Source organism: Homo sapiens, chromosome 9 (assembly GCF_000001405.40).
Source record: "Homo sapiens chromosome 9, GRCh38.p14 Primary Assembly".
In the NCBI taxonomy this organism is placed as follows: Eukaryota; Metazoa; Chordata; class Mammalia; order Primates; family Hominidae; genus Homo; species Homo sapiens.
Genome location: NC_000009.12, coordinates 44463583 through 44482981, shown reverse-complemented (window position 1 = coordinate 44482981; position 19399 = coordinate 44463583). Strand labels below are relative to the sequence as shown.

The 19399-nt window shown below is 37.4% G+C and overlaps 1 annotated feature.

Moving 5' to 3' along the window:
* Positions 1-19399: part of a centromere (Linear centromere model derived predominantly from reads generated in PMID: 17803354. This region does not represent an actual centromere sequence, as long-range ordering of repeats and unmapped WGS contigs is not provided by the model. For details of model production, see http://arxiv.org/abs/1307.0035.) that runs on past both edges of the window.

The following is a 19399-nucleotide window of genomic DNA, read 5'->3' as shown; positions in this document are numbered from 1 at the left end:
ATTTCCTTTTTCAACATAGGCCTCAAAGCGCTCCAAACGTCCACTTCCAGGTAGTGCAGAAAGAGTGTCTCAAACCTGGTATATAACAGGGAACATTCTACTCTGTGACTTGAATGAAAACATCACAAAGCAGTTTCTGAGAATGCTTCCGTCTAGATTTTATATGAAGATATTCCCGTTTCCAACGAAACCTTCAAAGCTATCCGAATATCCACCTGCAGATTCTACAAAAAGAGTGTTTCCAAAATGCCGTATCAAAACAAAGGTTCAACTCTGTTAGTTGAGAACACACATGGCAAATAAGTTTCTGAGAATGCTTCTGTCTAGTTTTTACTTGAAGATATTTCCTTTCTCACCATAGGCCTGAAAGCGCTTGAAACGTCAGCTTGCAGATACTACAGAAAGAGTGTTTCAAACCTGCTCTATGAAAGGGAATGTTCAGTTCTGTGACTTGAATGCAAATATCACAAAGAAGTTCCTGAGAATGCTTCTCTCTAGGTTTTATATGTAATCCCGTTTCCAACGAAATCCTCAAAGCTATCCAAATATCCACTTTCAGATTCCACAAAAAGAGTGTTTCAAAACTGCTCTGTAAAAAGAAAGGTTCATCTCTGTTAGTTGAATACACACATCACAAACAAGTTTCTGAGAATGCTTCTGTCTAGTTTTTATGGGAAGATATTTCCTTTTTCATCATAGGCCTCAAAGCGCTGCAAATGTCCACTTCCAGGTAGTGCAGAAAGAGTGTCTCAAACCTGGTATATAACAGGGAACATTCTACTCTGTGACTTGAATGAAAACATCACAGAGCAGTTTCTGAGAATGCTTCCGTCTAGATTTTATATGAAGATATTCCCGTTTCCAACGAAACCTTCAAAGCTATCCGAATATCCACCTGCAGATTCTACAAAAAGAGTGTTTCCAAAATGCCATATCAAAACAAAGGTTCAACTCTGTTAGTTGAGAACACACATCGCAAATAAGTTTCTGAGAATGCTTCTGTCTAGTTTTTATTTGAAGATATTTCCTTTCTCACCATAGGCCTGAAAGCGTTTGAAATGTCCGTTTGCAGATACTACAGAAAGAGTGTTTCAAACATGCTCTATGAAAGGGAATGTTCAGTTCTGTGACGTGAATGCAAACATCACAAAGAAGTTCCTGAGAATGCTTCCTCTGTCTAGATTTTATATGAAGATATCCCGTGTCCAACGAAATCCTCAAAGGTATCAAAATATCCACTTGCAGATTCTACAAAAAGAGTGCTTCAAAACTGCTCCGTCAAAAGTAAGGTTCAACTCTGTTACTTGAGTACACACATCACAAGGAAGTTTCTGAGAATGCTTCTGTCTGGTTTTTAGGAGAAGATATTTCCTTTTTCAACATAGGCCTCAAAGCGCTGCAAATGTCCACTTCCAAATATTACAAAAAGAGTGTTTCAAACCTGCTGTATGAAGGGAAGTGTTCAACTCTATGAGTTGAATGCAAACATCACAGAGAAGTTTCTGAGAATGCTTCTGTCTTGATTTCATATGAAGATATTCCCGTTTCCAACGAAACCTTCAAAGCTATCCAAATATCCACTTGCAGATTCTACAAAAAGAGTGTTTCCAAAATGTTGTATCAAAAGAAAGGTTCAACTCTGTTAGTTGAGGACACACATCGCAAATAAGTTTCTGAGAATGCTTCTGTCTAGTTTTTATTTGAAGATATTTCCTTTCTCACCACAGGCCTGAAAGCGCTTAAAACGTCCGCTTGCAGATACTACAGAAAGAGTGTTTCAAACCTGCTCTATGAAAGGGAATGTTCAGTTCTGTGACTTGAATGCAAACATCACAAAGAAGTTCCTGAGAATGCTTCTCTCTAGGTTTTATATGTAATCCCGTTTCCAACGAAATCCTCAAATCTATCCAAATATCCACTTTCAGATTCCACAAAAAGAGTGTTTCAAAACTGCTCTGTAAAAAGAAAGGTTCATCTCTGTTAGTTGAATACACACATCACAAACAAGTTTCTGAGAATGCTTCGGTCTAGTTTTTATGGGAAGATATTTCCTTTTTCAACATAGGTCTCAAAGCGCTGCAAATGTCCACTTCCAAATATTACAAAAAGAGTGTTTCAAACCTGCTGTATGAAGGGAAGTGTTCAACTCTATGAGTTGAATGCAAACATCACAGAGAAGTTTCTGAGAATGCTTCTGTCTTGATTTCATATGAAGATATTCCCGTTTCCAACGAAACCTTCAAAGCTATCCAAATATCCACTTGCAGATTCTACAAAAAGAGTGTTTCCAAAATGTTGTATCAAAAGAAAGGTTCAACTCTGTTAGTTGAGGACACACATCGCAAATAAGTTTCTGAGAATGCTTCTGTCTAGTTTTTATTTGAAGATATTTCCTTTCTCACCACAGGCCTGAAAGCGCTTAAAACGTCCGCTTGCAGATACTACAGAAAGAGTATTTCAAACCTGCTCTATGAAAGGGAATGTTCAGTTCTGTGACTTGAATGCAAACATCACAAAGAAGTTCCTGAGAATGCTTCTCTCTAGGTTTTATATGTAATCCCGTTTCCAACAAAATCCTCAAAGCTATCCAAATATCCACTTTCAGAATCCACAAAAAGAGTGTTTCAAAACTGCTCTGTAAAAAGAAAGGTTCATCTCTGTTAGTTGAATACACACATCACAAACAAATTTCTGAGAATGCTTCTGTCTAGTTTTTATGGGAAGATATTTCCTTTTTCAACATAGGCCTCAAAGCGCTCCAAATGTCCACTTCCAGGTAGTGCAGAAAGAGTGTTTCAAACCTGCTCTATAAAAGGGAATATTCAACTCTGTGACTTGAATGCAAACATCACAAAGCACTTTCTGAGAATGCTTCCGTCTAGATTTTATATGAAGATATTCCCGTTTCCAAGGAAATCTTCCTAGCTATCTAAATATCAACTTGCAGATTCTACTAAAGGAATGTTTCCAAAATCCTGTATCCACACAAAGGTTCAACTCTGTTAATTGAGGACATACAGAACAAAGAAGTTTCTGAGAATGCTTCTGTCTAGATTTTATATGACGATATCCCGTGTCCAACGAAATCCTCAAAGGTATCAAAATATCCACTTGCAGATTCTACAAAAAGAGTGCTTCAAAACTGCTCTGTCAAAAGGAAGGTTCAACTCTGTTACTTGAGTACACACATCACAAGGAAGTTTCTGAGAATGCTTCTGTCTGGTTTTTAGGAGAAGATATTTCCTTTTTCAACATAGGCCTCAAAGCGCTGCAAATGTCCACTTCCAAATATTACAAAAAGAGTGTTTCAAACCTGCTGTATGAAGGGAAGTGTTCAACTCTATGAGTTGAATGCAAACATCACAGAGAAGTTTCTGAGAATGCTTCTGTCTTGATTTCATATGAAGATATTCCCGTTTCCAACGAAACCTTCAAAGCTATCCAAATATCCACTTGCAGATTCTACAAAAAGAGTGTTTCCAAAATGTTGTATCAAAAGAAAGGTTCAACTCTGTTAGTTGAGGACACACATCGCAAATAAGTTTCTGAGAATGCTTCTGTCTAGTTTTTATTTGAAGATATTTCCTTTCTCACCATAGGCCTGAAAGCGTTTGAAATGTCCGTTTGCAGATACTACAGAAAGAGTGTTTCAAACATGCTCTATGAAAGGGAATGTTCAGTTCTGTGACTTGAATGCAAGCATCACAAAGAAGTTCCTGAGAATGCTTCTCTCTAGATTTTATATGTAATCCCGTTTCCAACGAAATCCTCAAAGCTATCCAAATATCCACTTTCAGATTCCACAAAAAGAGTGTTTCAAAACTGCTCTGTAAAAAGAAAGGTTCATCTCTGTTAGTTGAATACACACATCACAAACAAGTTTCTGAGAATGCTTCTGTCTAGTTTTTATGGGAAGATATTTCCTTTTTCAACTTAGGCCTCAAAGCGCTCCAAATGTCCACTTCCAGGTAGTGCAGAAAGAGTGTTTCAAACCTGCTCTATAAAAGGGAATATTCAACTCTGTGACTTGAATGCAAACATCACAAAGCACTTTCTGAGAATGCTTCCGTCTAGATTTTATATGAAGATATTCCCGTTTCCAAGGAAATCTTCCTAGCTATCTAAATATCAACTTGCAGATTCTACTAAAGGAATGTTTCCAAAATGCTGTATCCACACAAAGGTTCAACTCTGTTAATTGAGGACATACAGCACAAAGAAGTTTCTGAGAATGCTTCTGTCTAGATTTTATATGAAGATATCCCGTTTCCAAAGAAATCCTCAAAGGTATCCAAATATCTACTTCCAGATTCTACAAAAAGACTGTTTCAAAACGGCTCTGTCAAAAGTAAGGTTCAACTCTGTTACTTGAGTACACACATCACAAGGAAGTTTCTGAGAATGCTTCTGTCTGGTTTTTAGGAGAAGATATTTCCTTTTTCAACATAGGCCTCAAAGCGCTGCAAATGTCCACTTCCAAATATTACAAAAAGAGTGTTTCATACCTGCTCTATGAAGGGAAGTGTTCAACTCTATGAGTTGAATGCAAACATCACAGAGAAGTTTCTGAGAATGCTTCTGTCTTGATTTTATATGAAGATATTCCCGTTTCCAACGAAACCTTCAAAGCTATCCAAATATCCACTTGCAGATTCTACAAAAAGAGTGTTTCCAAAATGTTGTATCAACACAAAGGTTCAACTCTGTTAGTTGAGGACACACATCGCAAATAAGTTTCTGAGAATGCTTCTGTCTAGTTTTTATTTGAAGATATTTCCTTTCTTACCATAGGCCTGAAAGCGCTTGAAATGTCCGTTTGCAGATACTACAGAAAGAGTGTTTCAAACATGCTCTATGAAAGGGAATGTTCAGTTCTGTGACGTGAATGCAAACATCACAAAGAAGTTCCTGAGAATGCTTCTCTCTAGATTTTATATGTAATCCCGTTTCCAACGAAATCCTCAAAGCTATCCAAATATCCACTTTCAGATTCCACAAAAAGAGTGTTTCAAAACTACTCTGTAAAAAGAAAGGTTCATCTCTGTTAGTTGAATACACACATCACAAACAAGTTTCTGAGAATGCTTCTGTCTAGTTTTTATGGGAAGATATTTCCTTTTTCAACATAGGCCTCAAAGCGCTCCAAACGTCCACTTCCAGGTAGTGCAGAAAGAGTGTCTCAAACCTGGTATATAACAGGGAACATTCTACTCTGTGACTTGAATGAAAACATCACAAAGCAGTTTCTGAGAATGCTTCCGTCTAGATTTTATATGAAGATATTCCCGTTTCCAAGGAAATCTTCCTAGCTATCTAAATATCAACTTGCAGATTCTACTAAAGGAATGTTTCCAAAATGCTGTATCCACACAAAGGTTCAACTCTGTTAATTGAGGACATACAGCACAAAGAAGTTTCTGTGAATGCTTCTGTCTAGTTTTTATTTGAAGATATTTCCTTTCTCACCATAGGCCTGAAAGCGTTTGAAATGTCCGTTTGCAGATACTACAGAAAGAGTGTTTCAAACATGCTCTATGAAAGGGAATGTTCAGTTCTGTGACTTGAATGCAAACATCACGAAGAAGTTCCTGAGAATGCTTCTCTCTAGATTTTATATGTAATCCCGTTTCCAACGAAATCCTCAAAGCTATCCAAATATCCACTTTCAGATTCCACAAAAAGAGTGTTTCAAAACTGCTCTGTAAAAAGAAAGGTTCATCTCTGTTAGTTGAATACACACATCACAAACAAGTTTCTGAGAATGCTTCTGTCTAGTTTTTATGGGAAGATATTACCTTTTTCATCATAGGCCTCAAAGCGCTGCAAAAGTCCACTTCCAAATATTACAAAAAGAGTGTTTCAAACCTGCTGTATGAAGGGAAGTGTTCAACTCTATGAGTTGAATGCAAACATCACAGAGAAGTTTCTGAGAATGCTTCTGTCTTGATTTTATATGAAGATATTCCCGTTTCCAACGAAACCTTCAAAGCTATTCAAATATCCACTTGCTGATTCTACAAAAAGAGTGTTTCCAAAATGTTGTATCAAAAGAAAGGTTCAACTCTGTTAGTTGAGGACACACATCGCAAATAAGTTTCTGAGAATGCTTCTGTCTAGTTTTTATTTGAAGATATTTCCTTTCTCACCACAGGCCTGAAAGCGATTAAAACGTCCGCTTGCAGATACTACAGAAAGAGTGTTTCAAACCTGCTCTATGAAAGGGAATGTTCAGTTCTGTGACTTGAATGCAAACATCACAAAGAAGTTTCCTGAGAATGCTTCTCTCTAGATTTTATATGTAATCCCGTTTCCAACGAAATCCTCGAAGCTATCCAAATATCCACTTTGAGATTCCACAAAAAGAGTGTTTCAAAACTGCTCTGTAAAAAGAAAGGTTCATCTCTGTTAGTTGAATACACACATCACAAACAAGTTTCTGAGAATGCTTCTGTCTAGTTTTTATGGGAAGATGTTTCCTTTTTCATCATAGGCCTCAAAGCGCTGCAAATGTCCACTTCCAGGTAGTGCAGAAAGAGTGTCTCAAACCTGGTATATAACAGGGAACATTCTACTCTGTGACTTGAATGAAAACATCACAGAGCATTTTCTGAGAATGCTTCCGTCTAGATTTTATATGAAGATATTCCCGTTTCCAACGAAACCTTCAAAGCTATCCGAATATCCACCTGCAGATTCTACAAAAAGAGTGTTTCCAAAATGCCATATCAAAACAAAGGTTCAACTCTGTTAGTTGAGAACACACATCGCAAATAAGTTTCTGAGAATGCTTCTGTCTAGTTTTTACTTGAAGATATTTCCTTTCTCACCATAGGCCTGAAAGCGCTTGAAACGTCAGCTTGCAGATACTACAGAAAGAGTGTTTCAAACCTGCTCTATGAAAGGGAATGTTCAGTTCTGTGACTTGAATGCAAACATCACAAAGAAGTTCCTGAGAATGCTTCTCCCTAGGTTTTTATATGTAATCCCGTTTCCAACGAAATCCTCAAAGCTATCCAAATATCCACTTTCAGATTCCACAAAAAGAGTGTTTCAAAACTGCTCTGTAAAAAGAAAGGTTCATCTCTGTTAGTTGAATACACACATCACAAACAAGTTTCTGAGAATGCTTCTGTCTAGTTTTTATGGGAAGATATTTCCTTTTTCAACATAGGCCTCAAAGCGCTCCAAACGTCCACTTCCGGGTAGTGCAGAAAGAGTGTCTCAAACCTGGTATATAACAGGGAACATTCTACTCTGTGACTTGAATGAAAACATCACAAAGCAGTTTCTGAGAATGCTTCCGTCTAGATTTTATATGAAGATATTCCCGTTTCCAACGAAACCTTCAAAGCTATCCGAATATCCACCTGCAGATTCTACAAAAAGAGTGTTTCCAAAATGCCGTATCAAAACAAAGGTTCAACTCTGTTAGTTGAGAACACACATGGCAAATAAGTTTCTGAGAATGCTTCTGTCTAGTTTTTACTTGAAGATATTTCCTTTCTTACCATAGGCCTGAAAGCGCATGAAACGTCAGCTTGCAGATACTACAGAAAGAGTGTTTCAAACCTGCTCTATGAAAGGGAATGTTCAGTCCTGTGACTTGAAGGCAAACATCACAAATAAGTTCCTGAGAATGCTTCTCTCTAGATTTTATATGTAATCCCGTTTCCAACGAAATCCCCAAAGCTATCCAAATATCCACTTTCAGATTCAACAAAAAGAGTGTTTCAAAACTGCTCTGTAAAAAGAAAGGTTCATCTCTGTTGGTTGAATACACACATCACAAACAAGTTTCTGAGAATGCTTCTGTCTAGTTTTTATGCGAAGATATTTCCTTTTTCAACATAGGCCTCAAAGCGCTCCAAACGTCCACTTCCAGGTAGTGCAGAAAGAGTGTCTCAAACCTGGTATATAACAGGGAACATTCTACTCTGTGACTTGAATGCAAACATCACAAAGCAGTTTCTGAGAATGCTTTCCGTCTAGAATTTATATGAAGATATTCCCGTTTCCAACGAAACCTTCAAAGCTATCCGAATATCCACCTGCAGATTCTACAAAAAGAGTGTTTCCAAAATGCCATATCAAAACAAAGGTTCAACTCTGTTAGTTGAGAACACACATCTCAAATAAGTTTCTGAGAATGCTTCTGTCTAGTTTTTACTTGAAGATATTTCCTTTCTCACCATAGGCCTGAAAGCGCTTGAAACGTCAGCTTGCAGATACTACAGAAAGAGTGTTTCAAACCTGCTCTATGAAAGGGAATGTTCAGTCCTGTGACTTGAAGGCAAACATCACAAAGAAGTTCCTGAGAATGCTTCTCTCTAGGTTTTATATGTAATCCCGTTTCCAACGAAATCCTCAAAGCTATCCAAATATCCACTTTCAGATTCCACAAAAAGAGTGTTTCAAAACTGCTCTGTAAAAAGAAAGGTTCATCTCTGTTAGTTGAATACACACATCACAAACAAGTTTCTGAGAATGCTTCTGTCTAGTTTTTATGGGAAGATATTTCCTTTTTCATCATAGGCCTCAAAGCGCTGCAAATGTCCACTTCCAAATATTACAAAAAGAGTGTTTCAAACCTGCTGTATGAAGGGAAGTGTTCAACTCTATGAGTTGAATGCAAACATCACAGAGAAGTTTCTGAGAATGCTTCTGTCTTGATTTTATATGAAGATATTCCCGTTTCCAACGAAACCTTCAAAGCTATTCAAATATCCACTTGCAGATTCTACAAAAAGAGTGGTTCCAAAATGTTGTATCAAAAGAAAGGTTCAACTCTGATAGTTGAGGACACACATCGCAAATAAGTTTCTGAGAATGCTTCTGTCTAGTTTTTATTTGAAGATATTTCCTTTCTCACCATAGGCCTGAAAGCGTTTGAAATGTCCGTTTGCAGATACTACAGAAAGAGTGTTTCAAACATGCTCTATGAAAGGGAATGTTCAGTTCTGTGACGTGAATGCAAACATCACAAAGAAGTTCCTGAGAATGCTTCTCTCTAGATTTTATATGTAATCCCGTTTCCAACGAAATCCTCAAAGCTATCCAAATATCCACTTTCAGATTCCACAAAAAGAGTGTTTCAAAACTGCTCTGTAAAAAGAAAGGTTCATCTCTGTTAGTTGAATACACACATCACAAACAAGTTTCTGAGAATGCTTCTGTCTAGTTTTTGTGGGAAGATATTTCCTTTTTCATCATAGGCCTCAAAGCGCTGCAAATGTCCACTTCCAAATATTACAAAAAGAGTGTTTCAAACCTGCTGTATGAAGGGAAGTGTTCAACTCTATGAGTTGAATGCAAACATCACAGAGAAGTTTCTGAGAATGCTTCTGTCTTGATTTTATATGAAGATATTCCCGTTTCCAACGAAACCTTCAAAGCTATTCAAATATCCACTTGCAGATTCTACAAAAAGAGTGTTTCCAAAATGTTGTATCAAAAGAAAGGTTCAACTCTGTTAGTTGAGGACACACATCGCAAATAAGTTTCTGAGAATGCTTCTGTCTAGTTTTTATTTGAAGATATTTCCTTTCTCACCATAGGCCTGAAAGCGTTTGAAATGTCCGTTTGCAGATACTACAGAAAGAGTGTTTCAAACATGCTCTATGAAAGGGAATGTTCAGTTCTGTGACGTGAATGCAAACATCACAAAGAAGTTCCTGAGAATGCTTCTCTCTAGGTTTTATATGTAATCCCGTTTCCAACGAAATCCTCAAAGCTATCCAAATATCCACTTTCAGATTCCACAAAAAGAGTGTTTCAAAACTGCTCTGTAAAAAGAAAGGTTCATCTCTGTTAGTTGAATACACACATCACAAACAAGTTTCTGAGAATGCTTCTGTCTAGTTTTTATGGGAAGATATTTCCTTTTTCAACATAGGCCTCAAAGCGCTCCAAACGTCCACTTCCGGGTAGTGCAGAAAGAGTGTCTCAAACCTGGTATATAACAGGGAACATTCTACTCTGTGACTTGAATGAAAACATCACAAAGCAGTTTCTGAGAATGCTTCCGTCTAGATTTTATATGAAGATATTCCCGTTTCCAACGAAACCTTCAAAGCTATCCGAATATCCACCTGCAGATTCTACAAAAAGAGTGTTTCCAAAATGCCGTATCAAAACAAAGGTTCAACTCTGTTAGTTGAGAACACACATGGCAAATAAGTTTCTGAGAATGCTTCTGTCTAGTTTTTATTTGAAGATATTTCCTTTCTCACCACAGGCCTGAAAGCGCTTGAAACGTCAGCTTGCAGATACTACAGAAAGAGTGTTTCAAACCTGCTCTATGAAAGGGAATGTTCAGTTCTGTGACTTGAATGCAAACATCACAAAGAAGTTCCTGAGAATGCTTCTGTCTAGATTTTATATGAAGATATCCCGTGTCCAACGAAATCCTCAAAGGTATCAAAATATCCACTTGCAGATTCTACAAAAAGAGTGCTTCAAAACTGCTCTGTCAAAAGGAAGGTTCAACTCTGTTACTTGAGTACACACATCACAAGGAAGTTTCTGAGAATGCTTCTGTCTGGTTTTTAGGAGAAGATATTTCCTTTTTCAACATAGGCCTCAAAGCGCTGCAAATGTCCACTTCCAAATATTAGAAAAAGAGTGTTTCAAACCTGCTGTATGAAGGGAAGTGTTCAACTCTATGAGTTGAATGCAAACATCACAGAGAAGTTTCTGAGAATGCTTCTGTCTTGATTTCATATGAAGATATTCCCGTTTCCAACGAAACCTTCAAAGCTATCCAAATATCCACTTGCAGATTCTACAAAAAGAGTGTTTCCAAAATGTTGTATCAAAAGAAAGGTTCAACTCTGTTAGTTGAGGACACACATCGCAAATACGTTTCTGAGAATGCTTCTGTCTAGTTTTTATTTGAAGATATTTCCTTTCTCACCACAGGCCTGAAAGCGCTTAAAACGTCCGCTTGCAGATACTACAGAAAGGGTGTTTCAAACCTGCTCTATGAAAGGGAATGTTCAGTTCTGTGACTTGAATGCAAACATCACAAAGAAGTTCCTGAGAATGCTTCTCCCTAGATTTTATATGTAATCCCGTTTCCAACGAAATCCGCAAAGCTATCCAAATATCCACTTTCAGATTCCACAAAAAGAGTGTTTCAAAACTGCTCTGTAAAAAGAAAGGTTCATCTCTGTTAGTTGAATACACACATCACAAACAAGTTTCTGAGAATGCTTCTGTCTGGTTTTTAGGAGAAGATATTTCCTTTTTCAACATAGGCCTCAAAGCGCTGCAAATGTCCACTTCCAAATATTAGAAAAAGAGTGTTTCAAACCTGCTGTATGAAGGGAAGTGTTCAACTCTATGAGTTGAATGCAAACATCACAGAGAAGTTTCTGAGAATGCTTCTGTCTTGATTTCATATGAAGATATTCCCGTTTCCAACGAAACCTTCAAAGCTATCCAAATATCCACTTGCAGATTCTACAAAAAGAGTGTTTCCAAAATGTTGTATCAAAAGAAAGGTTCAACTCTGTTAGTTGAGGACACACATCGCAAATAAGTTTCTGAGAATGCTTCTGTCTAGTTTTTATTTGAAGATATTTCCTTTCTCACCACAGGCCTGAAAGCGCTTAAAACGTCCGCTTGCAGATACTACAGAAAGAGTGTTTCAAACCTGCTCTATGAAAGGGAATGTTCAGTTCTGTGACTTGAATGCAAACATCACAAAGAAGTTCCTGAGAATGCTTCTCTCTAGATTTTATATGTAATCCCGTTTCCAACGAAATCCTCAAAGCTATCCAAATATCCACTTTCAGATTCCACAAAAAGAGTGTTTCAAAACTGCTCTGTAAAAAGAAAGGTTCATCTCTGTTAGTTGAATACACACATCACAAACAAGTTTCTGAGAATGCTTCTGTCTGGTTTTTAGGAGAAGAATTTCCTTTTTCAACATAGGCCTCAAAGCGCTGCAAATGTCCACTTCCAAATATTACAAAAAGAGTGTTTCAAACCTGCTCTATGAAGGGAAGTGTTCAACTCTATGAGTTGAATGCAAACATCACAGAGAAGTTTCTGAGAATGCTTCTGTCTTGATTTCATATGAAGATATTCCCGTTTCCAACGAAACCTTCAAAGCTATCCAAATATCCACTTGCAGATTCTACAAAAAGAGTGTTTCCAAAATGTTGTATCAAAAGAAAGGTTCAACTCTGTTAGTTGAGGACACACATCGCAAATAAGTTTCTGAGAATGCTTCTGTCTAGTTTTTATTTGAAGATATTTCCTTTCTCACCACAGGCCTGAAAGGGCTTAAAACGTCCGCTTGCAGATACTACAGAAAGAGTGTTTCAAACCTGCTCTATGAAAGGGAATGTTCAGTTCTGTGACTTGAATGCAAACATCACAAAGAAGTTGCCTGAGAATGCTTCTCCCTAGATTTTATATGTAATCCCGTTTCCAACGAAATCCGCAAAGCTATCCAAATATCCACTTTCAGATTCCACAAAAAGAGTGTTTCAAAACTGCTCTGTAAAAAGAAAGGTTCATCTCTGTTAGTTGAATACACACATCACAAACAAGTTTCTGAGAATGCTTCTGTCTAGTTTTTATGGGAAGATATTTCCTTTTTCATCATACGCCTCAAAGCGCTGCAAATGTCCACTTCCAAATATTACAAAAAGAGTGTTTCAAACCTGCTGTATGAAGGGAAGTGTTCAACTCTATGAGTTGAATGCAAACATCACAGAGAAGTTTCTGAGAATGCTTCTGTCTTGATTTTATATGAAGATATTCCCGTTTCCAAAGAAACCTTCAAAGCTATCCAAATATCCACTTGCAGATTCTACAAAAAGAGTGTTTCCAAAATGTTGTATCAAAAGAAAGGTTCAACTCTGTTAGTTGAGGAAACACATCGCAAACAAGTTTCTGAGAATGCTTCTGTCTAGTTTTTATTTGAAGATATTTCCTTTCTCACCATAGGCCTGAAAGCGTTTGAAATGTCCGTTTGCAGATACTACAGAAAGAGTGTTTCAAACATGCTCTATGAAAGGGAATGTTCAGTTCTGTGACGTGAATGCAAACATCACAAAGAAGTTCCTGAGAATGCTTCTCTCTAGGTTTTATATGTAATCCCGTTTCCAACGAAATCCTCAAAGCTATCCAAATATCCACTTTCAGATTCCACAAAAAGAGTGTTTCAAAACTGCTCTGTAAAAAGAAAGGTTCATCTCTGTTAGTTGAATACACACATCACAAACAAGTTTCTGAGAATGCTTCTGTCTAGTTTTTATGGGAAGATATTTCCTTTTTCATCATAGGCCTCAAAGCGCTCCAAATGTCCACTTCCAGGTAGTGCAGAAAGAGTGTCTCAAACCTGGTATATAACAGGGAACATTCTACTCTGTGACTTGAATGAAAACATCACAAAGCAGTTTCTGAGAATGCTTCCGTCTAGATTTTATATGAAGATATTCCCGTTTCCAACGAAACCTTCAAAGCTATCCGAATATCCACCTGCAGATTCTACAAAAAGAGTGTTTCCAAAATGCCGTATCAAAACAAAGGTTCAACTCTGTTAGTTGAGAACACACATGGCAAATAAGTTTCTGAGAATGCTTCTGTCTAGTTTTTACTTGAAGATATTTCCTTTCTCACCATAGGCCTGAAAGCGCTTGAAACGTCCGCTTGCAGATACTACAGAAAGAGTGTTTCAAACCTGCTCTATGAAAGGGAATGTTCAGTTCTGTGACTTGAATGCAAACATCACAAAGAAGTTCCTGAGAATGCTCTTCTCTCTAGAATTTTATATGTAATCCCGTTTCCAACGAAATCCTCAAAGCTATCCAAATATCCACTTTCAGATTCCACAAAAAGAGTGTTTCAAAACTGCTCTGTAAAAAGAAAGGTTCATCTCTGTTAGTTGAATACACACATCACAAACAAGTTTCTGAGAATGCTTCTGTCTAGTTTTTATGGGAAGATATTTCCTTTTTCATCATAGGCCTCAAAGCGCTCCAAATGTCCACTTCCAGATAGTGCAGAAAGAGTGTCTCAAACCTGGTATATAAAAGGGAACATTCTACTCTGTGACTTGAATGAAAACATCACAAAGCAGTTTCTGAGAATGCTTCCGTCTAGATTTTATTTGAAGATATTCCCGTTTCCAACGAAACCTTCAAAGCTATCTAATATCCACTTGCAGATTCTACAAAAAGAGTGTTTCCAAAATGCCGTATCAAAACAAAGGTTCAACTCTGTTAGTTGAGAACACACATGGCAAATAAGTTTCTGAGAATGCTTCTGTCTAGTTTTTATTTGAAGATATTTCCTTTCTCACCATAGGCCTGAAAGCGCTTGAAACGTCCGCTTGCAGATACTACAGAAAGAGTGTTTCAAACATGCTCTATGAAAGGGAATGTTCAGTTCTGTGACGTGAATGCAAACATCACAAAGAAGTTCCTGAGAATGCTTCTCTCTAGATTTTATATGTAATCCCGTTTCCAACGAAATCCTCAAAGCTATCCAAATATCCACTTTCAGATTCCACAAAAAGAGTGTTTCAAAACTGCTCTGTAAAAAGAAAGGTTCATCTCTGTTAGTTGAATACACACATCACAAACAAGTTTCTGAGAATGCTTCTGTCTAGTTTTTATGGGAAGATATTTCCTTTTTCATCATAGGCCACAAAGCGCTCCAAATGTCCACTTCCAGATAGTGCAGAAAGAGTGTCTCAAACCTGATATATAAAAGGGAACATTCTACTCTGTGACTTGAATGAAAACATCACAAAGCAGTTTCTGAGAATGCTTCCGTCTAGATTTTATATGAAGATATTCCCGTTTCCAACGAAACCTTCAAAGCTATCCGAATATCCACCTGCAGATTCTACAAAAAGAGTGTTTCCAAAATGCCGTATCAAAACAAAGGTTCAACTCTGTTAGTTGAGAACACACATGGCAAATAAGTTTCTGAGAATGCTTCTGTCTAGTTTTTACTTGAAGATATTTCCTTTCTCACCATAGGCCTGAAAGCGCTTGAAACGTCCGCTTGCAGATACTACAGAAAGAGTGTTTCAAACATGCTCTATGAAAGGGAATGTTCAGTTCTGTGACTTGAATGCAAACATCACAAAGAAGTTCCTGAGAATGCTTCTGTCTAGATTTTATATGAAGATCATCCCGTTTCCAAAGAAATCCTCAAAGGTGTCCAAATATCTACTTCCAGATTCTACAAAAAGACTGTTTCAAAACGGCTCTGTCAAAAGTAAGGTTCAACTCTGTTACTTGAGTACACACATCACAAGGAAGTTTCTGAGAATGCTTCCTGTCTGGTTTTTAGGAGAAGATATTTCCTTTTTCAACATAGGCCTCAAAGCGCTGCAAATGTCCACTTCCAAATATTACAAAAAGAGTGTTTCAAACCTGCTCTATGAAGGGAAGTGTTCAACTCTATGAGTTGAATGCAAACATCACAGAGAAGTTTCTGAGAATGCTTCTGTCTTGATTTTATATGAAGATATTCCCGTTTCCAACGAAAACTTCAAAGCTATCCAAATATCCACCTGCAGATTCTACAAAAAGAGTGTTTCCAAAATGTTGTATCAAAACAAAGGTTCAACTCTGTTAGTTGAGGACACACATCGCAAATAAGTTTCTGAGAATGCTTCTGTCTAGTTTTTATTTGAAGATATTTCCTTTCTCACCACAGGCCTGAAAGCGATTAAAACGTCCGCTTGCAGATACTACAGAAAGAGTGTTTCAAACCTGCTCTATGAAAGGGAATGTTCAGTTCTGTGACTTGAATGCAAACATCACAAAGAAGTTCCTGAGAATGCTTCTCCCTAGATTTTATATGTAATCCGGTTTCCAACGAAATCCGCAAAGCTATCCAAATATCTACTTTCAGATTCCACAAAAAGAGTGTTTCAAAACTGCTCTGTAAAAAGAAAGGTTCATCTCTGTTAGTTGAATACACACATCACAAACAAGTTTCTGAGAACGCTTCTGTCTAGTTTTTATGGGAAGATATTACCTTTTTCATCATAGGCCTCAAAGCGCTGCAAATGTCCACTTCCAAATATTACAAAAAGAGTGTTTCAAACCTGCTGTATGAAGGGAAGTGTTCAACTCTATGAGTTGAATGCAAACATCACAGAGAAGTTTCTGAGAATGCTTCTGTCTTGATTTTATATGAAGATATTCCCGTTTCCAACGAAACCTTCAAAGCTATTCAAATATCCACTTGCAGATTCTACAAAAAGAGTGTTTCCAAAATGTTGTATCAAAAGAAAGGTTCAACTCTGTTAGTTGAGGACACACATCGCAAATAAGTTTCTGAGAATGCTTCTGTCTAGTTTTTACTTGAAGATATTTCCTTTCTCACCATAGGCCTGAAAGCGTTTGAAATGTCCGTTTGCAGATACTACAGAAAGAGTGTTTCAAACATGCTCTATGAAAGGGAATGTTCAGTTCTGTGACGTGAATGCAAACATCACAAAGAAGTTCCTGAGAATGCTTCTCTCTAGATTTTATATGTAATCCCGTTTCCAACGAAATCCTCAAAGCTATCCAAATATCCACTTTCAGATTCCACAAAAAGAGTGTTTCAAAACTCCTCTGTAAAAAGAAAGGTTCATCTCTGTTAGTTGAATACACACATCACAAACAAGTTTCTGAGAATGCTTCTGTCTAGTTTTTATGGGAAGATATTTCCTTTTTCAACATTGGCCTCAAAGCGCTCCAAACGTCCACTTCCGGGTAGTGCAGAAAGAGTGTCTCAAACCTGGTATATAACAGGGAACATTCAACTCTGTGACTTGAATGAAAACATCACAAAGCAGTTTCTGAGAATGCTTCCGTCTAGATTTTATATGAAGATATTCCCGTTTCCAACGAAACCTTCAAAGCTATCCGAATATCCACCTGCAGATTCTACAAAAAGAGTGTTTCCAAAATGCCGTATCAAAACAAAGGTTCAACTCTGTTAGTTGAGAACACACATGGCAAATAAGTTTCTGAGAATGCTTCTGTCTAGTTTTTACTTGAAGATATTTCCTTTCTCACCATAGGCCTGAAAGCGCATGAAACGTCAGCTTGCAGATACTACAGAAAGAGTGTTTCAAACCTGCTCTATGAAAGGGAATGTTCAGTCCTGTGACTTGAAGGCAAACATCACAAAGAAGTTCCTGAGAATGCTTCTCTCTAGGTTTTATATGTAATCCCGTTTCCAACGAAATCCTCAAAGCTATCCAAATATCCACTTTCAGATTCCACAAAAAGAGTGTTTCAAAACTGCTCTGTAAAAAGAAAGGTTCATCTCTGTTAGTTGAATACACACATCACAAACAAGTTTCTGAGAATGCTTCTGTCTAGTTTTTATGGGAAGATATTTCGTTTTTCAACATAGGCCTCAAAGCGCTCCAAATGTCCACTTCCAGGTAGTGCAGAAAGAGTGTTTCAAACCTGCTCTATAAAAGGGAACATTCAACTCTGTGACTTGAATGAAGACATCACAAAGCACTTTCTGAGAATGCTTCTGTCTTGATTTTATATGAAGATATTCCCGTTTCCAACGAAACCTTCAAAGCTATCCAAATATCCACTTGCAGATTCTACAAAAAGAGTGGTTCCAAAATGTTGTATCAAAAGAAAGGTTCAACTCTGTTAGTTGAGGACACACATCGCAAATAAGTTTCTGAGAATGCTTCTGTCTAGTTTTTATTTGAAGATATTTCCTTTCTCACCATAGGCCTGAAAGCGTTTGAAATGTCCGTTTGCAGATACTACAGAAAGAGTGTTTCAAACATGCTCTATGAAAGGGAATGTTCAGTTCTGTGACGTGAATGCAAACATAACAAAGAAGTTCCTGAGAATGCTTCTCTCTAGATTTTATATGTAATCCCGTTTCCAACGAAATCCTCAAAGCTATCCAAATATCCACTTTCAGATTCCACAAAAAGAGTGTTTCAAAACTGCTCTGTAAAAAGAAAGGTTCATCTCTGTTAGTTGAATACACACATCACAAACAAGTTTCTGAGAATGCTTCTGTCTGGTTTTTAGGAGAAGATATTTCCTTTTTCAACATAGGCCTCAAAGCGCTGCAAATGTCCACTTCCAAATATTAGAAAAAGAGTGTTTCAAACCTGCTGTATGAAGGGAAGTGTTCAACTCTATGAGTTGAATGCAAACATCACAGAGAAGTTTCTGAGAATGCTTCTGTCTTGATTTCATATGAAGATATTCCCGTTTCCAACGAAACCTTCAAAGCTATCCAAATATCCACTTGCAGATTCTACAAAAAGAGTGTTTCCAAAATGTTGTATCAAAAGAAAGGTTCAACTCTGTTAGTTGAGGACACACATCGCAAATAAGTTTCTGAGAATGCTTCTGTCTAGTTTTTATTTGAAGATATTTCCTTTCTCACCACAGGCCTGAAAGCGCTTAAAACGTCCGCTTGCAGATACTACAGAAAGAGTGTTTCAAACCTGCTCTATGAAAGGGAATGTTCAGTTCTGTGACTTGAATGCAAACATCACAAAGAAGTTCCTGAGAATGCTTCTCCCTAGATTTTATATGTAATCCCGTTTCCAACGAAATCTGCAAAGCTATCCAAATATCCACTTTCAGATTCCACAAAAAGAGTGTTTCAAAACTGCTCTGTAAAAAGAAAGGTTCATCTCTGTTAGTTGAATACACACATCACAAACAAGTTTCTGAGAATGCTTCTGTCTGGTTTTTAGGAGAAGATATTTCCTTTTTCAACATAGGCCTCAAAGCGCTGCAAATGTCCACTTCCAAATATTAGAAAAAGAGTGTTTCAAACCTGCTGTATGAAGGGAAGTGTTCAACTCTATGAGTTGAATGCAAACATCACAGAGAAGTTTCTGAGAATGCTTCTGTCTTGATTTCATATGAAGATATTCCCGTTTCCAACGAAACCTTCAAAGCTATCCAAATATCCACTTGCAGATTCTACAAAAAGAGTGTTTCCAAAATGTTGTATCAAAAGAAAGGTTCAACTCTGTTAGTTGAGGACACACATCGCAAATAAGTTTCTGAGAATGCTTCTGTCTAGTTTTTATTTGAAGATATTTCTTTTCTCACCACAGGCCTGAAAGCGCTTAAAACGTCCGCTTGCAGATACTACAGAAAGAGTGTTTCAAACCTGCTCTATGAAAGGGAATGTTCAGTTCTGTGACTTGAATGCAAACATCACAAAGAAGTTCCTGATAATGCTTCTCCCTAGATTTTATATGTAATCCCGTTTCCAACGAAATCCGCAAAGCTATCCAAATATCCACTTTCAGATTCCACAAAAAGAGTGTTTCAAAACTGCTCTGTAAAAAGAAAGGTTCATCTCTGTTAGTTGAATACACACATCACAAACAAGTTTCTGAGAATGCTTCTGTCTAGTTTTTATGGGA